The sequence below is a fragment of the Homo sapiens genome, chromosome 21 (assembly GCF_000001405.40).
Source record: "Homo sapiens chromosome 21, GRCh38.p14 Primary Assembly".
In the NCBI taxonomy this organism is placed as follows: domain Eukaryota; kingdom Metazoa; phylum Chordata; class Mammalia; order Primates; family Hominidae; genus Homo; species Homo sapiens.
Window position 1 is genome coordinate 32439939 of NC_000021.9, and position 21524 is coordinate 32461462.

Genomic DNA, 21524 nt, shown 5'->3' on the forward strand with positions numbered 1-21524 from the left:
AGCCTTAATTTCCACCTTGAAGTTAAGGTAGGTATCATGCTTACCTTGATCATCCTACACATCCTCAAAGTGGGCAGAGTTGAAAGGCTGTCTAAGCGGGTGGGATGGGAGGCGGTGCCCTTCCACCCTCCTGTCTGTTTGTCGAGCTCTGTTGGTCCTTCCGATTGGTTAGCGACCCTGAGTGTTTCTGAGAGCCTTTTGTTGTATGTGAGGGCAGAACCACTAATCTGGCCAATTCCAAGCAGAAAAGATCAAGTATAGATTTCATATCTGAGTTTTAAGTGCTAGTAAAAAGTTGCATTAAGTTATCAAATGCACTGTGATCCTGGCTTCATCGCCAAGTGGCTCTGCAGTTTGAGGATTACGCTGTGTCCCGAAGAAAAGAAAAGAAAATTGTTCCGTTTAGTTGCTTGGGGTAAAGGGGGATTGATCCAGTTACTTTTAAATTAATCTAAGTCAGATGGTGTTCGCTGCATAACTTTCTAAGGTTGGTACTTGGTCAAAGAACAAGGTGTTCATTTTTATAGGATTGAAGGCCTTTGGTTGAAAAGGCATGAAGAAGTTTCTACCAGTCCTGTTTGAAATAAAATAGTAGTGTAATCTAAGGATTGTAATACAAGACCAACGCAGCACATTTAGAGTAACTTTTTAAAATTGGTTGACAGATGTCAACCAATTAACTTTTTAAAATTGGTTGATGATCTCTCTCTCTTTCCGTAGATGTGTGTGTAGCATATCACACAGAGAAATCTATAAGCCCTGGGTTATGTTGGTTGCTGATGAGGATTAATTAGAACCTACTACTCAATTATTCACTTTTGATCTGCTCTTGCTCTAGTAGTCTTCTTCACTGTGTCATTCATTCAAGAGCTGTTCATTGGGCCAGGCGCAGTGGCTCACACCTGTAATCCCAGCACTTTGGGAGGCCGAGGCGGGCAGATCACCTGAGGTCGGAAGTTTGAGACCAGCCTGACCAACATGGAGAAAACCCGTCTTTATTAAAAATACAAAAAATTAGCCAGGTGTGATGGCACATGCCTGTAATCCCAGCTACTCAGGAGGCTGAGGCAAGAGAATCGCTTGAGTCCAGAAGGTAGAGGTTGCAGTGAGCCAAGATGATGCCATTGCAGTCCAGCCTGGGCAAGAAGAGTGAAACTCCCTCTCAAAAAAAAGAACTCTTCATTTTCCTATATGATGACATACTGCTATATGACAAACTCTTGCTAGCTGCTGGAGATACAGCAATAAATAAAGCAAAGTCCTTGCTTACATCCCAAAGGGGAGAAACAGGCAACAGGTTTCTACGTAGCAAGATAAAGCAGAGTTAGGGGTGTGGGGCAGGAGGTGTGCTGTCTTGCAGAGCAACCCGGAAAGGTCTGACTGATGAGGCCACATTGGTACAAGAGGCTGAATGAAGGGAGGAAGGGAGAAAGCAGATGTTTGGAGGAAGACTGCTTCGGGCTGAGAGACAGTCAAAGCAAAGGTCCTGAGGTCAGAGTATGCTTAGCATTTTCAAGAAACAAGAAGGCACCGTGGCTGAAGTCAAGCAGGAGAATGGCAGAAGATGAGGTTGGATGAGGCTGGATGAAGTAGAAGGGGCCCAGTGGCATGGGACTTTGGATTTTTCTTTGGAGTCAGAAACCCATACAATGGTACAATGGATTGACATGTGTAGACAAATGCCGAGACAGCCACGAAAATCTGAAATCCATACATATAAATACACAAGTGGACAACTACATAGGAAAATCCACTTAAAATACATGCAAATATATGGGGGGAAATTATGGGACTTGATGAATCAGAGGGTTGGTGTACAGAAAGGGAAAAGAAGTAAGAAAAAGTGACAAGATGGGAGATAATTGGGTGACTATTAGAAACCAATGTTAACTACAAGAATTCAAAGTCCAGGTGTAGCCCAGAACGAGGTTTCTTCCATTTGGTGCCTCCCCTGTCTTCTGGGGCCTCAGAGTCTGTCCTTGTCCCCTCTGTTGTCCACTTGTGACAGCAGACGGGGAGAGAGAGGTAGTGGAGGGTCACAAGGGGTCTCAAGGGCCAGACCTTCAAGTGGCAAACATCATTTCTGCCCTCTTTCCATTGCCCAGAATTTTCCACTGGCCCACTGTACTACCAGGAGAGATTGGGGTAGGGCAGGCTGAGAAATATACTACTCCTGTGTGCTCGGGAAGAAAATATATTGTCTCTGCCTTGTCTGGACTCTCAGTTTACCTTCTCTCCTCTGTGGTTTGTTTCAGGACTAGGATCTGAGCTCATCACTTAAGAGTTGTCATAGCTATCCTTGGTCATCCCTAACTTGGGAGCCTCCCAAATATCTAAGAAACAGGCTGGTGGCTCTAGTTCTCTTCACAATTAACCTCCAGGTTCACTTTCTTAGTCTCACACCTGGGACTAGAGGAAGGACTTAAACTCATACCTAACTTCACCTTTTGATCTTGATGCCCCTGGGTGTGTAGTGCCAGTCCTGAGCCCTTGGTCATGGGGCCTTTCCTGTACCCTCAGGACCCCTGACTCATGGCTCCCCACCCCCCAACCCCATGCCATTGCCAATTCTCTAAATGCATTCACAAACACAAAAGAAAAGAACATCTTTTTCTGGAAAAAGACTTCAAACATGTAAAAACACCTTTTATTATTTGTTTATTTGTGAATACAAGGGTGTGGTCTTTTATCTAAAGCATTAACCAAGTGGAGGGTGGCAGGTTATAAAAAAAAAAAAAAAAAGCGGGTGGGAGGGAAGGCAAGGACGTAGCAAATTGAATTCCTTTCTTTTCCCAGAAGTAAGATTGTGAAATTGGCCCCTGGTGATTAGGGGACTTTAGCACACCGATGTGGGGCCAGTGACTGATATTCTTATATCCTGCGTTCAGAGTGACTCAGGCAACGTCAACCCTCAGGAAACTCAGATTGCATTGGAAGCCTCTGGCTTCAGAAAAGAAAGAGAGGAAAATGTACAGCTCTTTTGACCTCTTCTAAATACTAGTAACTTTTTAGGTCTTAATTATTAGGAAGGAAGAAGGGAAGGAAGGGAGGGAGGGAGGGAAGGAGGGAGGGAGGGAGGGAGGGAAGGAAGGAGGAAGGGTGGGGAGGGAGGGTTCCCTTTTCCTCCAGGCTCAGCAGTGACATGTCTGGACTGAGGGCAGCCACGGGGCTATGTACTGGTCTCTGAGCTGTCTACCTTACATCAAGGTGCTCAGAGCTGAGAGGGCTGGCCGCGAGTGTAATTTGATTAGAGCTGGATTGTTCAGCATTGTACCAATGGAAGCTCTATGTTAATTAGTGTTCTTTAAGATTTACAGTACATGGCAGGGTACAGTGGCTCATGCCTGCACTTTGGGAGGCCTAGGTGGGTGGATCACCTGAGGTCAGGAGTTGGAGATCAGCCTGACCAACATGGTGAAACCCTGCCTCTACTAAAAATACAAAAAAATTAGCCAGGCTTTGTGGCAAGGACCTGTAATTCCCAGCTACTTGTGAGGCTGAGGCAGAAGAATCTCCTGAACCCAGGAGGCGGAGGTTGCAGTGAGCCAAGATTGCGCCATTGCACTCCAGCCTGGGCAAGAAGAGCGAAACTCCATCTCAAAAAACAAACAAATAAAAAAACCCTTACAGTATAATTGTAATACCTTAGAGATGTGCAGTGGTTTATGGTAAAGAAAAAAAAAGATGCTTATGCCCACTATATCATTTAATCATCACAGCAAAACATGAAGCCACCAATTCCAAGAGGTGGCTATCACAGTCATACACCCTAATTCCTAGTGCTCTCTTTTATTTTTATTTTAGCTATTACAGATAACAATAACCAAAGGATTGAATATTTCACTTCTTTATTATTAGTTTGCATTTCCTTGCACATCCAGTGAACCAACTTCCCAAGAGTTGGATCTGTCTCCAAATTCCGGAAAGGTAACTTTCACCTTTAGTAACAGAGTGCAGCACAGCTGTGACTTCATACCATGGGTGACCATACGACCATCCAGGAATCAAAGGTCTCTTATCCTCCATCCTCTCATTCTTTCTCTTCCCAAAGCACATGTTTCTATGAGACAGGGCCACAGCCAGCAACTCCCACTTCTGACACCAATTGTGTGAAAACACACACACACACACACACACACACACACACACACACAAACTCAAAGTACTTTCTCTATTCTTTCACTCAACAACAATCAACACGGAATATTTTTTGTGACCAAATGTTTGGGGATTCCTCCCCACCAACAAGCAAACAATCAATTCTGCAGCAAATACCAGCTGGATATATACTCCAATTCAATTCTGACACCATCTACCTGGAGACAGCATCATATCCCACAGAATGAGTCTCGGTCCCCAAGACTATTGCCCTTCTTCCCAGCAGTCACAGTCTGGGCCTCCGGAACTTCTGAACAACAAGCTTCAAGTTGAGGTTCCCATGACCCCCTCCTTGGGTTCCATCAATATGGAGTGGCTCACAGAAAAACTTTAGGGAAGTTCACTTATGTTTATCAGTTTATTATAAAGGCTATTACAAAGGATACAGATGAAGAGACACATAGGGAAAGGGATGGAGGAAGCAGTGCGGAGCTTCTGTGCCCACCGTGGGTGCCCTGACTTCCAAAAACCTGTACATGTTCTGCTATCCGGAAGCTCTCCAAACCCAGTTCTTTTGGATTTTTATAGAAGCATCATTACATAGGCACAATTGATTAAATCACTGGCCATTAGTGACCAATATAACCTTCAGTTCCTCTCCTCTCCCTGGAAGTTGGGGTTGGGCTCAAAGTCCCAACTCTTTAATCTTGCCTTGGTCTTTCCAGGGACCAGTCCCCATCCTGAAGCTAGCTAGGGGCTGCCAGCCATCAGTCAACTTATTAGCATACAAAAACACATCACTTTGGAGATTCTAAGGGTTTTAGGAGTTGTATGGAAGGAAACACGTGAAAGATCAAATATATATTTCACAATATCGCACTCCTGTAGAACACTTTGGGACACATACCATGATTCTTTGAAAATCAGTTATTTACATCATTCTGGTATAAATCAATGAAAATGACCAAGGCAAGTTGTAATCATTTTAGGGGGTTTATTTGCCAAAGTTAAGGACACCCACTGGGGAGACAGGTCTATGCCTTTCTCCAAAGATAATTTTGAGGGCTTCAATATTTAAAGGGGAAAGGATGGATATTGGGGGAATATACAATTTTCATAGGAGGGTGAGTAGAGGAAATAGTCATTCATGCTGTCACTTGTCCGGCTAAGGGAATCTGCAATTTTACATAAGATAACGTAAACAATAGTGCAGAGGAAGCAATCAGATATACATTTGCCTCAGGCGAGCAGAAGGATGACTTTGAGTTCTGTCCTGTCCCATTCCACATCTGTGGATAAGCTATCAATTGACATTGCCAGGGTGAAATTCAACAGAAATATTTTCAAGTAAAGATCTTGGGGCCTGCAAGGAATCTCCTTGTGAGCAAAAGGTGAGCGATGTATGTAGCTTTTTATCTTTGTAGCCGTCTTAGTTAGGAACCAAATGGGAGGCAGGTTTGTGCGACCCAGTTCCCAGCTTGACTGTTCCCTTTGGCTTAGTAAGTATGGGGCCCCAAGATTTATTTTCCTCTCACACTGGTCTTTCTATAGTCACTGGATTATTTGAATATTAATGGATTTTCCTTGTAAATGTGATGAGGATGACGATCCCAAGAAGGACTTCCCTGTGTCTTTCAGAAGACAGAGGAGAGCTCCTGCCACTCTTAGGGGTTCATGTCGTGAACTCTTCATCTGTATTCAAAAAATGAAAACCTAAGAACTTTGGTCTAAGCTGTTCTAAGATTTGCTCAACCCAAACCTTTCAGGATACTCCTTTGAGGAAGGTTTTACCCATGGCAGTAGCTATAAGACTTTCTGCTGATACACAGTGGGAGGATTCACCAGGGAAGAGTATCTTGGAGTTACACATGAGCTGCACCAAGATCCCTGAGCGATGTGAAGCTGATAAAAAAGAGTCTACATCCAGCTGGGTGTGGTGGCTTACACCTGTAATCCCAGCACTTTGGGAGGCTGAGGCGGGAGGATCACCTGAGGTCAGGAGTTCGAGACCAGCCTGGCCAACATGGTGAAACCCCGTCTCTACTAAAAATAAAAAAATAGCCAGGTGTGGTGGCACGTGCCTGTAGTCCCAGCTACTCGGGAGGGTGAGGCAGGAGAATTGCTTGAACCTGGGAGGCGGAGGTTGCAGTGAGCCGAGATTGTGCCATTGCACTCCAGCCTGGGTGACAGAAAAAGAAAAAAAAAAAGAGTCCACATCCTCTCATTTCCTCTCCTCACCAGTTTAACAAGGATCAACAGAGCATCTCCAGGCTCTAATGGATTCCAGGACTGATTTCTTAACAGAGTGTGCACAACTGCCATCTTCCAGGATAGCAAATACTTGCCCACAAATAGAGTTAGATTGTAAAAGCTCTGGCTGAAACTATTAAGAAATAAAGCAGTTTTGACTGATCCAACATGATGGCTAATTTGACTAGGAGGGAATCATTAACAAACAGCTGCATTAGTAGTTGTTCTTTAAAAAGGATCTCTCTTCAACCAGCCAAGAAACCAAGGTGTGGGAAGTTCAGTGGCATGACTCTGCCCAGCACACTGGAATGCATGAGCTTGCCTACCGGGAAAGCAGCATGCCGGAAAGGGTGTGAGATTGGGAGCAGCTCATCTGTCATCTGCCTTTTGTTTAAGGACAACCTTGGCAGCTGGCTCCTGCTCCACCCCACTTCCTACCTTCATCCTGGGAGACGCCTGGTCCACAGGGCATCTTCACTCTCAGTCCTGGCATCCTTGTTTCCAGCAACCTTCTCCACCAACCTCTCCTACCTCCTTCCATGGCCACTCCTGGACATTTCCATAACCTGCAAATCCACCTTGAAATCACTCCTCAAACAACTCGTGGGCACAGCCTCCTGCCTTTCCAGCCTGCTGTGTGATTCCCTCACTCTGACCTTGCTGGTCCTCATTAGGAACTCTGGTCCCTTGCGCCCCTCCCCTCTTCTGTGCTCATTTCCTTTCTTACATTTAGCTTGGAGCCCACGGTTCATCATTTTGAGCCGTCTCTTGACAATATCCCCCTTCAAACTTGTCGGACCATAACCCATGGTAAGAAATCTAATAGGTATGAGCCTGGCGCAGTGGCTCACACCTGTAATCCCAGCACTTTGGGAGGCTGAGGTGGGTGGATCACTTGAGGTCAGGAGTTCCAGACCAGCCTAGCCAAAAACAGAAATTAGCTGGGCATGGTGGCGGGCACTGTAGTCCCAGCTACTCCAGAGGCTGAGGCAGAACTGCTTGAACCAGGGAGGTGGAGGTTGCAGTCAACCAAAATCACGCCACTGCACTCCAGCCTGGGTGACAAAGGGAGACTCCGTCTCGGTGGGGGGAAAAGGAAAGAAATCTAATACATACGATCTAAGGGTCATGTGCATATGTATTTATCTGTACACATACATATATGCACAAGCCTCTTTCACTTTAACTCAATCACAATTATTTAAAAATCTCTCTCTGAACATCAGTTCTTACAGCTATGTTTCTCTTTTTTTTTTTTGATAACTTAATCACATCTGCCAAGTCCCTTTTACCATGAATGTCTGGTAACATAATCACTGATCCTGGGGATTAAGGCCTGTGGACATCTTTGGGGGCCGTTATTCTGCCTACCACATGGACCATCTTTGACTTTCTTCACTTCCACTCACTTTTCTTTTTTCTTTTTTCTGTGTTTTGAGATGGAGTTTTGCTCTTGTTGCCTAGCCTGGCGTGCAATGGCGCGATCTCAGCTCACTGCAACCTCTACCTCCCAGATTCAAGTGATTCACCTCCCTCAGCCTCCCGAGTAACTGGGATTACAAGCGCCTGCCACCACGTCCGGCTAATTTTGTATTTTTAGCAGAGACGGGGTTTTTCCATGTTAGTCAGGCTGGTTTTGAATTCTCATTCTCAGGTGATCCGCCTGCCTCGGCCTCCCAAAGTGCTGGGATTACAAGCGTGAGCCACCGCGCCTGGCCCCTCCACTCACTTTTCAACCTTTTCCGAACAAGCTTCTGTCCCCATCCCCCATCCCATATGGTTTCAAAATGGTTCTTGATGGCCTCCATGTTGCTGAAACCATGGGGTTGTTCTAATTGTCCTTCTTCCTGACCTTTTGGCACTGTGGACCAAACAGAATGGGGCATGGGCAGGCACCCTGGAGGACCAGAGCATTTGGGCAGCCTGTCCTGCTGTCACCCAGCAGCCCATCCTCGTGGGACTGAGGCTGGCTACAGAAGGCATTCCGCACCCGCTTGCTCCATGAGTTATCCAGGGCTCCATGTGCCTAGGCTTTCTTTATTGTTTAAAAGTGTAGGTCAGATAACTACAGGTGAAGTTTTCTTAAACATTTTTGTTTACATATCCAAAGTGGATAACTGGGTGAGCTTTCACAAAGTAAAGCACATGCCTGCCATCAGATCAAGGAACAGGACATGATGGCCAGCTCGCCCGAGCTCCTCGTTCTCCCCTCCCTAACGCTAGCTCCTCTCCTCCCATAGGTAATGCTATCCTGGGGCCGAGGTGATAAGGATTTTTTTTTCCTTTTAAATAGACTTAATGTGTTAGAGAAGTTCTAGGTTCATAGAAAAATGGAGAAGAGGCCAGGCACTGTGGCTCACACCTGTAATCCCAGCACTTTGAGAGGCTGAGGCGGGCAGATCACGAGGTCAGGAGTTTGAGACCAGCCTGACCAATATGATGAAACCCCAACTCTACTAAAAATACAAAAAAATTAGCCAGGCGTGGTGGTGCATGCCTGTAATCCTAGCTACTTGGGAGGCTGAGGCAGGAGAATTGCTTGAATCTGGGAGGTGGAGGTTGCAGTGGGCTGAGATCTTACCACTGTATTCCAGCCTGGGTGACAAAGAAAAAAAAAGAAAGGAGAAAAGAGAGAAAGAAAGAAAGAGAGAGAAAGAGAGAAAGAAAGAAAAGAGAAAGAAAAAGAAAGAAAGAAAGAGAGAAAGAAAGAAAGGAGGGAGGGTGGGAAGGAAGGAAGGAAGGAAAGAAGGAAGGAAAAGGAAAGAAAGAGAAAAGAAAAGAAAGAAAAATGGAGCAAAAAGTGCAGAGTTTTCATCAACCTCTACTCCTACCTGCCACACACATACACACACACGTGCAGCTTCCCCCACTAGCAATATCAAACCTGAGTGCGATATTTGTCATAATCAATAAACCTACATTGACAAATCACTATCACCCAGAGTCCATAGTTTACATGAGGGCTCACTTTTGGTGTTGTACGTTGCATGGGTTTGGACGTATGGACAATGACGTGGCTCCACCATTGTGGTATCACACAGGGTAGTTGCAATGCCCAAAAAGTCCTCTGTGTTCCACCAATTCATTCCTCCTTTCTCCTGACCTCTGGCAACCATGGATATTTTCGCTGTCTCCATAGTTGTGGTTTATCCAGAATGTCATATAGTTGGAATCAGACAGTACACAGCCTTTTCAGATTGGCTTCTTTCACTTAGGAATATGCATTTAAGGTTTCTCCATGTCTTTTTGTGGTTTGATAGCTCATTTCATTTTAGTGCTAAATAACATTCCATTGTCTGGATGTGGGCCTAGGTTTCTTTCGTTTTTTGTTTTTTGTTTTGTTTTTTTTTTTTGAGATGGGGTTTTGCTCTGTTTCCCCTGCTGGAGTGCAGTGGCACGATCTCGGCTCACTGCAGCCTCTGCCTCCAGTGTTCAAGCAATTCCCCCACCTCAGCCTCCAGAGTAGCTGGGATTACGGGGGCGTGCCACCACACCCAGCTAATTTTTTGCATTTTTAGTAGAGACGGAATTTCACCATGTTGGCCAGGCTGGTCTCGAACCCCTGACCTCAGGTGATCTGCCCGCCTCAGCCTCCCAAACTGTTGGGATTATAGGTGTGAGCCACCACAACTGGCCGGGCCTAGGTTTTTGAAGAAGGAATTGAACTGAGTGTAGGGCAGGTTGTACTGCTGACGTGTCTTCTTTGTACTTGGAATGTGCTAGGACTGATATACTTCAAAGTGCAAAGCACCTGAAGGATCTGGCATTAGTCAATTCTATGCACTGAGCTTCTGCCCCCAGAATACCACTCTCAGAATAAGAATATGGTAAGGCCAGTTGGATAGGTGGGGCATGGATTGGAGGCTCAGGCCACTGCACCGCACGTACAGGTCTTGATGTAAATGGTCTGGAGGAGGTCAAGTTCTGTTTAGCGGGGATAGACTATGTGACAGAGTGAAGAAAGATAATGGTCTAAACGCAGCAAAAGTTTCATTCCCACTCACGTGACAGTCTGTGGAGCAGGCAGCTCCTCTCTTCATGAACCTGGGACCCAGGTATCTTCCATCTTGTGGCTCTGCTTCTCTGGAGCCTTGTCATTTTTTTTTTTTTTCATCTAGCTACAGTGACAAGATCTTTTGGATAAGCCATGAATATTAAACCAAAGGCAAACTCTGAAAATTGATTTGATGTGTGGTCAGCTGCTTATTTATTCCCCGGACCACAGTCCGGGAATGCTGGGGTGATGGACAAGAAGGTTTTCATGAGGAGGCTGAAGAGATCTAAGTATAGGGGTGCCAGCCTGGGGCACTTCAGAAGGGGCACTGGCCTAGGGGTAGCATCAGGGTGACCCTGAGTTCCCTGGGGCAGGGTGTGGCTCATGACAGGGTGCTGAGAACCCACCAAGAAGGCTGGAATTTTCAGTACTCATTGTTTTATGAGGGCCTGCCTGTGTGCCAGGCGGGAAGACACTGACCAGAGGCCCAGGGCCACTGAGGGGTCTTGGCCTGGTCTCTTGGTGCCTGGGGGGTACACTGTGCAAGCAATGATGTAGTTCCAAGGGGCAGGACTCTGACCCACACTCCTGGTGCCAATGTCCGTTTTGCCACTCATGTTAGATTTTGCTTCTCTAAGTGAACTTACTCAGGATAGCTGGGTTCTTGGCCATTCTTCCAGTGGTTTTCAAGGGTGAAAAAAGGAGTTTCAGCAAGACAGCTAACGTCTGGATGAACGTGCCAGGAAATGTCTGTAGCCTTCCTCTAGAGAGCACTCTGGGCTGGTGGGCGTGAGGACCCCAGGGCAGGCTGGCTCAGCCCCTTTGACTTCAGATTTCAGGGAAGGCCAGGGAGCTGGATTGGGCGCCTGGATTTTCCGAGAATTATGTTTCTGAGAGGATTTTGAAACCTAAACAGGAATACTTTACACACAGGTCATCGAGCAGGAATCGGGAAGTTCCTAAGCTGCCCTCCTTCACGCCACCTCCTCCCTTCAGAGACCAAGGGCTGCCAAGCTGTCTCCCACACACCTCAGTGAAAAGTCCCTGGCTCTCCTCCCAGCCGCCTCGCTGTGACCTCGTGAGGTGTGAGAAGGAGGAAGGGGATCTACATTCTGGATGAACCTTCCTTCCTCCTTGCCGAGAAATAGTTTAGGCCCCTGCGCCTGCTGGGCCTCAGAGCTTCTCAGAGCCCAGGGCTGAGTGTGGCTCCTGCAAGCTGCCTGGGAATTCCATGGAGTCTGACTGGCTGCCTGTCTTATTCACAGTCTGCTGCAACCCCTTTCCTAAGCTTGGGTGGCTGAAAACAACAGAAATTCATCCTCTCACAGTTCTGGAGGCCACAGTCTGAATCCAGGTGTTGGCAGGGCTGTGCTGCCTTTGAAGGTTCTAGGGAAGAATCCTTCCTGGCCTTTTCCAGCTTTGGGTGGTGGCCGGCAACGCTCGGCATTCCTTGGCTTCAGGTGCATCATTCCAGCTGCAGATGGCTGTCTTCCCTCTGTGTCTCTTCTTTTCTTCTTATAAGGACACCGGTTATATGGTGTTAAGGGCCCACCTTACTCCAGTATGTCACCAACTTAATTCATTACATCTGCAACCACCCTATTTCCAAATGTCACATTCTGGGGTTCCTGATGAACGTGAATTTGAGGGGACATCATTCAACCCACAGCAGAGCCCCACCATCGCCTCCCTGCACCACGCCCTTGGAGCAGGCCCCTTCTCTACGCAGGGCACCCTGCCTGTCTTTCCTCTCCAGCAGCAAGACAGAGCCAAGAGTGATTTCTTGAAATGAAATTGCATCCTCTCATTCCAATAAGGCATGGCCTCACTAGTGGGAGATGAGCAAATGAAAGCCTCCCTCAGGATGGGCATCCACACATCCAGGGGACACTCACCCCGATTTTTTTCCTGGTTTATAAAGGTGCTTCAGGACTCCTTGGCTCCTGGCCAATATCTTAGTGCTTCCTGAAGGGGAAAGAGCCCTCCAAACCATTCAGTGGGCCATCCCAGACCGAGGTTTCTGACCCAGACATTGAAACAGGAGGAGTTCCCTTATCCCCCCTTGCAGGGCACGTGACAGGGGCATGGCTCGCTTCTCAGTACCCTGCTGCTCAAACCCCTAGAGGGGGCATGCAGATGGACAGGTCGTGGGGAGCGTTTTTGGGCTCCGACCCCACAGCAGCTTGTAGAATTGGGTGTTTACAGCTCCCGAAGCCCCAGTGGGCATGTGTTACAGTGGTCTCCTTCAGTTTTGCCATCTGCAGGCGGCTTGTGTTAATCAGCTCAATTAGACCCTCTGCCTTATCACAAAGACAGATGGCTTTCTGTATCCCAGGTTCTTGCCCTAGTGTACTCGGAAAATCAGATTTCGCATGGACTTGGAGAAGGAGTGCAAGGTTTTATTGAGTGGAGGAGGTGGCTCTCGGATGGGGAGCCAGAAGGGGGATGGAGTGGGAAGGTGGTCTTCCCCTAGAGTTGGGCTGCCCAGCAGCCAGACTCTCCTCCGACCGCCCCCGACTGATTTCCACATCGCCCCGCTGTCGAAAGCCCGCCAGCATCTGCTGGTGTCTGTCAGTGTGCTCTTCTGCTTCTCTGCTCCTCTCGACGTCCAGCCACTTGTGTGTGTGCCCACTAGGGTCTTGGGTTTTTTATGGGCACAGGATGGGGGTCATGGCAGGCCAGAGTAGTCTTGGAAAATGCAACATTTGGACATGAAAACAGGAGTGCCTGTTCTCACTAAGGTCCATGGGCACAAGCCCATGGGTGGAGCCCTCGCCAGGGACCCCACCCTTCTCTACCCAGCACTCCCCTGCCCCCCTTCCATGTCAACATGAAAGCTGACATTGGCTCCTGTGCCCCACCTCTGGGCCTGGTTTGGTGACCTCTGCACCAGAGCTGCTAGGGAGGCCCCATCCCACATGTTGTTGATTGAACAGCCCTTCCCCAGGGGAACCAACGTCCTCCTGTCCCCAAACCCATGGAGGAGTGGTGGGTTCCTGGGCCTCTAGTAACTCGACTGAATATTTTCCAGGTTACCTAACCAAACTCCTGCAAAACCACACCACCTATGCCTGTGATGGGGACTATTTGAATCTACAGTGCCCTCGGCATTCTACGATAAGTGTCCAATCGGCATTTTATGGGCAAGATTACCAAATGTGTAGTTCCCAGAAGCCTGCCTCCCAGAGGGAAGACAGCTTAACCTGTGTGGCAGCCACCACCTTCCAGGTATTGCCTTTTGTAGACATGTTAAGATGATACAGTTTCAACACACACTCTTTCTCTCTCTCTGGGTATAAATATATTTGTGATTATATAGTTCAATCCAAGCAAAACTGATCCATGAAAAATCCCAATTTATACAGATCACCAGTTTTGTAGGTGAGCTATTATTTGCTTCTCAAAGGATTTGTTGCCCAACAAAACTAAATAGAATTCCTACCTATTGTAGAGCCCCCTTTGTACACTTCAATATGAATTTATTTGTAGGTTTACTCCTTACTTTAGTATAGCAAAGTACAACCAGGATGGATTCCAACCTCCAGGCCCACATCTCCCATAAATACTCCTGTAGAAAGGGAAGGTAGGTTCTTTAATGGAAACCACAAGTATCTCTTTGAGGCAGACATCTGAAGTCATGACCAACTTTTTAGAAAATGTACTCAAAGGGCTGGGCGCGGTGGCTCATGCCTGTAATCCCAGCACTTTGGGAGGCCGAGGTGGGTGGATCATGAGGTCAGGAGTTCAAGACCAGCCTGGCCAATATGGTGAAACCCCATCTCTACTAATAATACAAAAATTAGCCGGGCATGGTGGCACGCACCTGTAGTCCCAGCTACTTGGGAGGCTGAGGCAGAAGAATCGCTTGAACCCAGGAGGCGGAGGTTGCAGTAAGCTGAGATCATGCCACTGCACTCTAGCCTGGGCAACAGAGCGAGACTCCATCTCAAAAAAAAGAAAATGTATTCAAGGAAGGAAATATCAGTAATATCAGTAACTGCCTTGTGCTTTTTAATGATTTGCTTCTTCAGTTGTAGATAATCATGTCATTCTTGCTTGGAGCTATTTTAGGCAGCCTTTACTGACTCCTTCCTTCTACTACATAGTACCAGGAATTGGGAGAGGTGTGGTTTAAGTCATTCTTTTTGTGGTTGGCATATTTAGGGAAAGATTTGGTATAGGAGAAGGTCAAACTAATATTTCAATGATGGTTTTAGACTGTGCATGGCTTTCAATCATCTGAGCAACTTCTACTTCACCATCCCTGGCCCCTAACATATATAACTAGTTGACCAGGATTACTGAGTCACTTGGCCTTGGATTTTTTTTTTTATGCCTCCCAAGTTCCATATGAATACATTTAAAGCAGGGAGTTTAGAGCAGGTGGAAAGTTGGAAGTCTGTTTGATTTTGTCGACCGTAGGAAATATGGATAAAGATACATTTGCTAGAACTAAGGAGAAATAAGAGTAGCTTTAATGCTGTGTAGCTCTCCCTAAGGCCCAAACAGGAGACGCAAACTAATGTGATGATGTAAGAATTTTTCTATTTCTCACACCATCCCTTGCTTCCACTCCAAGCATGGTAGTATCTGGGTATTTAGGTGATTGGTGAAACACACCAATTGAGTAGCCAAAATGAATGTGTCTGAATGACTCCCCATGACATGGTTTCTATACCTTGAGGAGAGACAACATGTTTCTTCAGGAGACAAGAAGTTGCTTTCCCTGTGTGCTCCACTGTCTTAGTCCTTTTTGTGCTGCTATAACAGTGTACCTGAGCCTGGGTAATTCATAAGGACCTGAGATTGATTTCTCACTGTTCTGAAGGTCAGGAAGTCCAAGAGCAAGGCGCCATAGGTTTGGTGTCTCTACTTCCAGGATGGCTCCTTGAACACTACATCCTCTAGGGGGTTGGAGAACGCTGGTACTCATGTGGCAGAAGAATGGAAGGGGCAAGAGAAGGAGAGAGGGCCAACTTGCCTTTTATAACAAGCCTAGTGCCACTCTAACAACCTACTCCTGAAAAAAAACAAAAAACAAACAAACAAACAAAAACAGTATTAATCCATTCATAAGGGTGAAGACCTGATGGTCTAATCACCTCTTAAAGACTCCACCTGTTAACACTGTTACTGTTAAAGCAGCAATTACATTTCAATGTGAGTTTTGGGGGGGATAAACATTCCAGCCATAGCACCCACCCTACCCCTAACTCTCTCTGTTGGGCGCCACCCCAGGAGCTACATCCCTCTTGACCCACCCCCATTTCTCAGCCACCTGCCCTGGCCATCCATCCTTGGATCCCAGGCTACCTGCTGCCCTCCTGGGTGCATGAAAGGAATGTTGGCCAGTACCAACATTTTTTTAAAGTGGCTACTTTGTAAAAGTAGGAACTCTTGGCATACACTAGAGCATGGGCACCACCTGCACCATTCCACGGGTACCTGCCTCTGCCAGATACCCCTGAGGGAAGAGGATGTTCTATAACCAGGCCGACAGGTTAGCATTTGTGAACACAGTTCTGACGTTGTTGGGAGGGTTTGTTTGCCAGAAACATCCCCATGCGCTACTCTTTCAACCAGAGGTCAAGAAGTCCTTTACTTTTGTGTCTTTTTTGTTTGTTTGTTTGAGACGGAGTTTCACTCTTGTTGCCCAGGCTGGAGTGCAATGGCGCAATCTCGGCTTACCACAACCTCTGCCTCCCAGGTTCAAGCAATTCTCCTGCCTCAGCCTCCCGAGTAGCTGGGATCACAGGTGCCCACCACCACGCCTGCTAATTTTTGTACTTTTAGTAGAGACAGGGTTTCACTGTGTTAGTCAGGCTGGTCTTGAACTCCTGACCTCAGGTGATCTGCCCGCTTCGGCCCCCCAAAATGCTGGGATTACAGGTGTGAGCCACCGCGCCCAGCCTTCTTTTGTGTCTTTTAAGCTGCACTCGGAGCACAGGCAAGGTGCTTCCTCAGAGGGAGGTTGCTTAACATGGGGAGACATCCACACAGGAGACCACAGCTGATCCATCCCTTGACTGTCAGCAGCAAGTCCCCCTCTCTGCATTTTCCAGCTCATGACATAGTTTGGAAATAGCCCTGCCCTGGGGTCTGCTCTGTGGTTGTAACAGTGGAGCCCTCCGGTGACATCTGTGGGCCAAGTCATTTCACCATGACCTTTGGCCATGCCACATGCAGTCATCTGAAAGCTGCACCTTCTGGGGTCTGAGGGGTTTCTTGGGTATTTTTTCCTGATTGAGACACATCTGCTGGGCCCCTGAGAGAATGGGGGATACCTGGCGGGGCCAGCATTCTTCACGGAGCTATTCCACGAGCTACTATGAGAACATGGTGACTCAGAGAGGCTCACGTGTCTGCACTAAATTCAGACCTAAAGTAATAAGCAGATTCTTGGGAACTTTTTTTTTAACTGTACTTGATGTCCTTTTTGTTTTTGTTTTAACCAGACCCAAGTTCAGGACCTCTGTGTTTATCACAAGCAGGACTTGTTCCATTTGGGAACGAGGACCTAGAGAACAGCAGCAAAAAGCTGAGCCTTCCCAGGACCTGGAGGAGGGTGTTCTGTGAGCTTCCACAGAGCAGATGCCTTAAAAACGAAGGAGCTGTCTGGAAAAAATCAGGAGAGAGAGAGAGATTGAGATTTGCAGGAAAGCCTTTACTGCCAATGCTCAACAGAAAGTCTGAGTGTTCCACTAAGAAAACTGCTCCCCGAGGGAGAAGTGGGTCCCATCCTCTTGAGTTTGATGAGGGTGGGAATCAGCTTTGTAATTTTTATTTTTTGGCCTGTGGATGGTTCGTAAGCTGGAAAGGGTTTGGGTCCCCAAGAGCTCCCCGATGCACAGCTCTCCTGTGTCCTGTGTGGGGCTATTTAAGGATGAAAGGCCAGGACTGTGAATCCTGATGGTCACAGCTCTCTCAGCTTAAAGCTAGGGGACCCCGCTCGAAGGGGACCCTGAAGTACCCTGCACCCCAATATCTGAAAGTCCTCTGACCTCGCTTGCACCCCCTGGAGCCTCGGCACTCAGTGCCTTTGCTGAAAGTAGCAGCCGCCGCACCAGTAGTGGTGGATCAGAGGTTAGTTTTCCCAGGAGCCTGGCACTATTGGATCAGGTTTCTTTTCAGGAGAAAGAGCAGGGAGACAGGGAGCTAACCCAATCACCCACGTCTATGCTCTTTGGCCTTAGACACAGCTTGGCCAGGTGGGGAGGCGTCCTTCCCTTTGCAGAGCCCAGAGCAGCCCAGGTTCGGGTCTGGCAGTCACTGTGAGCAGTTTTCAAGCCTGTCCCTTTTCTACCCTCTCCTTCTAGAAGGTGCTGGACGAATGCCAGAACCAGCGGGCCTGCCACCTCCTGGTCAATAGCCGTGTTTTTGGACCTGACCTTTGTCCAGGAAGCAGTAAATACCTCCTGGTCTCCTTTAAATGCCAACCTAGTAAGTAACTTCGGAGGGGGACAGTGTGTTTGGGGTGTGGTTCTCGTTTCCTTCACACTCCTGGTCAAAATTCTCTGCCCGTTGGCATTTGTCCAACTTTGAAACTCATTAACAGACACATTGGGCTCCATCCTACCCAGTTTTTTAGAGACAGAGAGAGAAAGAAAGACAGAGAAAGAAAGAGAGAGAGATTTTGTGTGTGTGAGTCTGCACATGCCTTCATTTTCTTACAAATGCCTGAATTTTAAAAATCCTTTCCAATATGTAAAACTCAGTTGTACTGATGCTACAACTCTCAGGGGTGGTGAGAGACTGCAATTGCTGTTCCTCAAAGTGAGGAGCTGGTTCTGCGTTTCAGAGGTGTCTTGTGCTGAGATTGAGAGGCTGCCTGTTTTTCCTTGAGGCCCAGTGGCCCACTTGCCACCTGCGCCCACTGCTTCAGATCTTTAAGAACCAGCTCCTCCCGCCCTCACCCACGGCAGGGGCTCCTTGTTCCCCAGGAGAATGAGAGGGGATATGGCTGGAGCCATCTCTTTTATTCTGATTCTTGTTGTTTTCTCCATTGACTTTTGCCATTTCTAATACGCATCAGCTTTGTGATGGGCAAAAATAATCCATCTTCCGTGGGTGGGTCACACTTCCAGGAGCCAAGAGCCTGCCTGAGATAAATCATAGGTCACTGTGGCATTAGAGGTTCTTGCACACTTTGTTGCAAAGAAACGATAGCAGTGTGTTTAACCAAAAAAATGAGAAGTTAAGCACTTTTTTTTTTTTTTTTTGAGACAGAGTTTCACTCTAGTTGCCCAGGCTGGAGTGCAATGCGCAATCTCGGCTCACCACAACTTTCGCCTCCCGGGTTCAGGCAGTTCTCCTGCCTCAGCTTCCTGAGTAACTGGGACTACAGGCATGCACCACCACGCCTGGCTAATTTTGTATTTTTAATAGAGAGAGGGTTTTGCCATGTTGGTCAGGCTGGTCTTGAACTCCCGACCTCAGCTGATCCACCCGTCTTGGCCTCCCAAAGTGCTGGGATTACAGGCATGAGCCACCACGCCTGGTCGAGTTAAGCATTTTTAAACCTCCTCCCTGCCACCCAACACAACTGTTTTCACTTTTTGCGTTTTGTTGTCTGTTAGCTCCCGCCCTGGTTCCCCGAGACCCTGGTGGCCTAGGTGCCAGACTTATGTGGGGAGAGGTCAGGCCACACTCGTACTATGGTCTCAGGTACACATGTGGGGAGAAACCCCCCCGATCTCTTCAGCAGATATGCAGGCTTCTGTCAAACCCCTTCCCTGCCAGGGCCCAGATACGTCAAAGCTGCCCTGTGTTCTTCTAACACAGCACACGCAAAGGCACTCACACTCTCACAGCACATAACAGACGCTCCTCACACTCACCTCTCATAATAGACATCATCACACACAGGCACACACTAACACAACCTTATACCCCATTATACACACTCAAACACATACAAGCTGTCACACTCACTCACACTGTCATACATGCTCACACACACTCACATGTACAGACAATCGCAAATACCTACAAGCAGGCCCAGCCATTCAGAACCGCCTGAACTCCCTTCGTGACCCCTCTCCACCCTCCCTCCGCCCCTAGGCATTGGGATCACCTCCTGCCTCAGTCAACAGACTCAGGAAATCACATCAAGATCTCAGTGTTCTTCCTCACTTCCCTCCAACCGCTGAATCTCACAGACGACTGTGTCATAGCCTTGAAGACACCCTTGACGGCCATTAGCTTTGCCTTCCTTTTTTTTCTGTTCTCCACTTCCCTCCTTCCATGGTGTAAAATATTGCCCTTTAAAAAGTGGCCCTTGGCTGGGGGCGGTGGCTCATGCCTGTAATCCCAGCACTTTGGGAGGCTGAGGCGGGTAGATCACCTCAGGTCGGGTGTTTGAGACCAGCCTGACCAACATGGAGAAACCCCGTCTCTACTAAAAATATGAAATTAGCTGGGCATAGTGGCGCATGCCTGTAATCCCAGCTAGTAGGGAGGCTGAGGCAGGAGAATCGTTTGAACCCAGGAGGCAGAGGTTGCGGTGAGCCGAGATCGCGCCATTGCACTCCAGCCTGGGTGACAGAGCGAGACTGTCTCAAAAAAAAAAAAAAAAAAAAAGCGGCCCTTGTTCAAGATATTAACAATTGGAGACCTGAGGTGGTGGGAATATGACTGTTGGTTGTGATATTCTTTCACATTTTCTATATGTTTGAAATGTTTCATAATAAGTTGAGAAAAACCAGCCTCTAAGAGAAGTCAAATGACCTTTGTAAAATTGACCGAACCTCGGATAAGTCAGTGCAGAGCCACAGCCCCATGACTATCGTGTGAGGTTTCATCTGGTTTATTCATATCATTTCAGCAAAGCCCCTACTTTGCACAGGAGTGGAATATGAAGAGAACTCACATCCCACAGAGATTCCCTGAGTGGCGGTTCTATCGTGGGTGGTGTCCACACCCCCTCCAGGGTATTTCTCAACCTTCCTTCACCCAGCAAGCATTCCTGAGATCTTCACACAGCTGGTTCCTTCTCCTTGTGTAATTTCCACCCCAAACAGCACCTTTCAAGAGAGGCTTTCTCTGTCCAAAAAACAACAACAAAAAACATCTTCCTCTCATCCTGCCACCCCTCTCTATCACAGCATCCTATTTTTTCTTCATAGCAGCATCATCGTTTAGATTTACCTTATTTGTGGCTTGTGTATGATTTGCACACACACTGCATCAGACTGTGAGCATGATGAGAGCAGGAACTCTGTGTGGTTCAGCATTGTTACCCCAGAGGAACAGGTGCTTAATATGTATTCACAGAGCAAATGTTCACCCAGCAGGGGCCAGGTCCTGTGCTCAGCATTGGGGAGACACAGGTGAGCACGTCCTCGGTAACCAGATCATCCAGTCCCGTGGGGCCTGATATTCACTGTGAGTTTCACACAAATATGTGCAAGATTCCAGGTAGGGTCAGGGCTTCATGGAGAGGCACTTGGTACTACGCAAGCAGCTCACAGAAGAATCTTTTTTTTGGATAGGGTCTCACTCCATTGCCCAGGCTGGAGTGTAGTGGCTCAATCTTGGCTCACTGCAACCTCTGCCTCCCGGTTTCAAGCGATTCTCCTGCCTCAGCCTCCTGAGTAACTGGGATTATAGGCATACACCACCACACCTGGCTAATTTTTGTATTTTTAGTAGAGACAGGGTTTCACCATGTTGGCCAGGCTGGTCTTGAACTCCTGACCTCAAGTGATCTGCCCGCATTGGCCTCCCAAAGTGCTAGGATCACAGGCGTGAACCACAGTGCCCAGCCTCATAGGAGGAATTGACCTTGACTAGGGGTTCAGTGGAGTCTTTTTGGAGCAAGTGATGATGGAGCTGAGAACTGCAGGGATGGAGGGCACAGAAAGAGTGCTCCATACGGAAGCCTGTGGCTGCGGGTTGCAGGTGCATTGGCGCAGCCAGCCACAGGGTAGGAGCACAGCACCAAGACAGGAGAGAGCACCAGCTGGGGAGCCGGAGTAGGGATCCTGAGTCCTCAGAGCCAAGGAAGGAGTTGGGGCTCTATCTATAGGGCAGCATTTAAGCAGGGAGGGTGCTGTGATGAAGTCATAAAGCCCCTCTGGCTGCCCCATAGAGAGCAGATGAGAGACAGAGCCCCTGTGTAACCTGAACACCAGAAACCTGAGCACTGCCATTTAGGAGGTGGAAGTGAGATTGTCTCCACACC

General features: G+C 47.7%; 1 protein-coding gene and 1 pseudogene across 17 annotated transcripts in view; both read left to right on the forward strand.

Moving 5' to 3' along the window:
- Positions 1-21524, forward strand: part of EVA1C (eva-1 homolog C) — a 103665-nt gene that overhangs the window by 28216 nt on the left and 53925 nt on the right. For 10 of the 17 annotated variants that reach the window (NR_135467.2, XR_001754885.2, NM_001320745.2 and 7 more), the window contains exons 2-3: positions 13374-13570; positions 17659-17782. The exons of 3 other annotated variants lie outside the window; for them this stretch is intronic. Coding sequence is in view for 11 of the 14 variants with exons in the window: in NM_058187.5 (NP_478067.2) it covers positions 13374-13570; positions 17659-17782 (321 nt within the window). In the remaining 3 variants the exon portion in view is untranslated. Of the gene's footprint in view, positions 1-11275; positions 11426-13373; positions 13571-17658; positions 17783-21524 lie in introns of all 17 variants that reach the window. 4 more of the 17 variants (XM_017028418.2, XM_047440933.1, XM_017028420.2 and 1 more) reach the window with 3 other exon arrangements.
- On the forward strand, positions 13578-17651 carry LOC101928078 (histone demethylase UTY-like; annotated as a pseudogene).